General features: G+C 51.9%; 1 annotated feature.

Moving 5' to 3' along the window:
- Nucleotides 231-732: an enhancer, noted in NCBI's record as "H3K4me1 hESC enhancer chr5:965451-965952 (GRCh37/hg19 assembly coordinates)". NCBI's record gives its function as "activates a minimal SCP1, AML or CMV promoter by ChIP-STARR-seq in naive H9 embryonic stem cells {active_cell/tissue: H9 hESC(naive)}" and the evidence as "EXISTENCE:reporter gene assay evidence [ECO:0000049][PMID:30033119]".

Raw genomic sequence — 1,180 nt, 5'->3', positions numbered from 1 at the left:
CATAGCTTAACAAAAAATAAGTGTAAAAAAGCTGAAAAGCAACAGTTAATCCTACGTGAGAGACAACGATGGTTGACTTTCTATACTTGGTGTTTCCCCAAGAAAGAAGCCCCTGGATGCCAGGGTCCCTCCCACTCTACACGTCAGCACGAGGCCGCGGTTCGCTCCCATCATCCGGTTCTAGATGTCAGCACGAGGCCGCGGCTCGCACCTGTCATCTGGGAGTTTCTCCCTCCCCTCCTGCCCACAGGACAACTTCTACTTCTCCTTTGGAATTTCTGAACACAGGAGGCCCTTCTCGGAAGCTCAGCTCTGCCTTCGCCCGCCAGGGCTGTTTCTCCCCTCGAGCCTCTGTCTCCACACCTGTGAAACGGGACGATAAGGGCCCCTTCATGGTGCGGAGGGAGGGCTAAGTTCATAAACGCGTGCAAACGAGGTGAGGACTGGCCGGCACGTAGAGACCCCGTGATGGCTGTCGGCCACCAAACAGACATTCTCCGTGCTCTTCATGCTCTTGCTTATGAGGAGAGATGCTGTGAAGATAAGTTTAAAAACGGCCATGCCATGACAGTTCACAAATAATATTATTCCCTCTGCGAATGCCCTTACCTTCTCTGATGACACTTGTTTCCTATCAACATCGATTTCTGTTGGCTTTCATGCCACCCTCTCTGAATGAGAATTGGGAAGACTCCAATGGCTGTTTTTAACCCCATATTTTTCTGTTCTGTAAACTTCTGTTCATTGCCAGGCTTTGTATCTTCCTTCTTTTAAAAGCGAAAGTGTCCTTTCTCTTCTTGTTTGGAACCTAGAATTGTGTATCGATGCATTTTTGGTGATTTCCCAATAACTAGCTGTGATCCTGCTCCACAGAGCCCTAATGCTTGAGCTCAAACTGTCCGAACCCACACTGCACTCCTTGGAGAAAATGAATGCAGCCTGAATTCTGCTGCTGAGAGTGCCTGGCCGTCCTGGTGGTCACTGACTCACTGGGGTCTGGCCGTCCTGGCAGCTCCTCAGGTCACCGGACTCTGGGGAGGCACCGTGCTGGTTCTGCCTGTGCCTGGTGGGACCCCCTGGTTCCCGGCACTGTCTGGGCCTCGTTCTGAGAGATGACTCCTTCTCACCATTGGTCACCAGACCTGGGCCCTCGGCCACTCGTGGCGTGGCTGAGATTTCA

Source organism: Homo sapiens, chromosome 5 (genome assembly GCF_000001405.40).
Source record: "Homo sapiens chromosome 5, GRCh38.p14 Primary Assembly".
In the NCBI taxonomy this organism is placed as follows: domain Eukaryota; kingdom Metazoa; phylum Chordata; class Mammalia; order Primates; family Hominidae; genus Homo; species Homo sapiens.
This window is presented reverse-complemented; position numbering and strand designations above follow the sequence as displayed.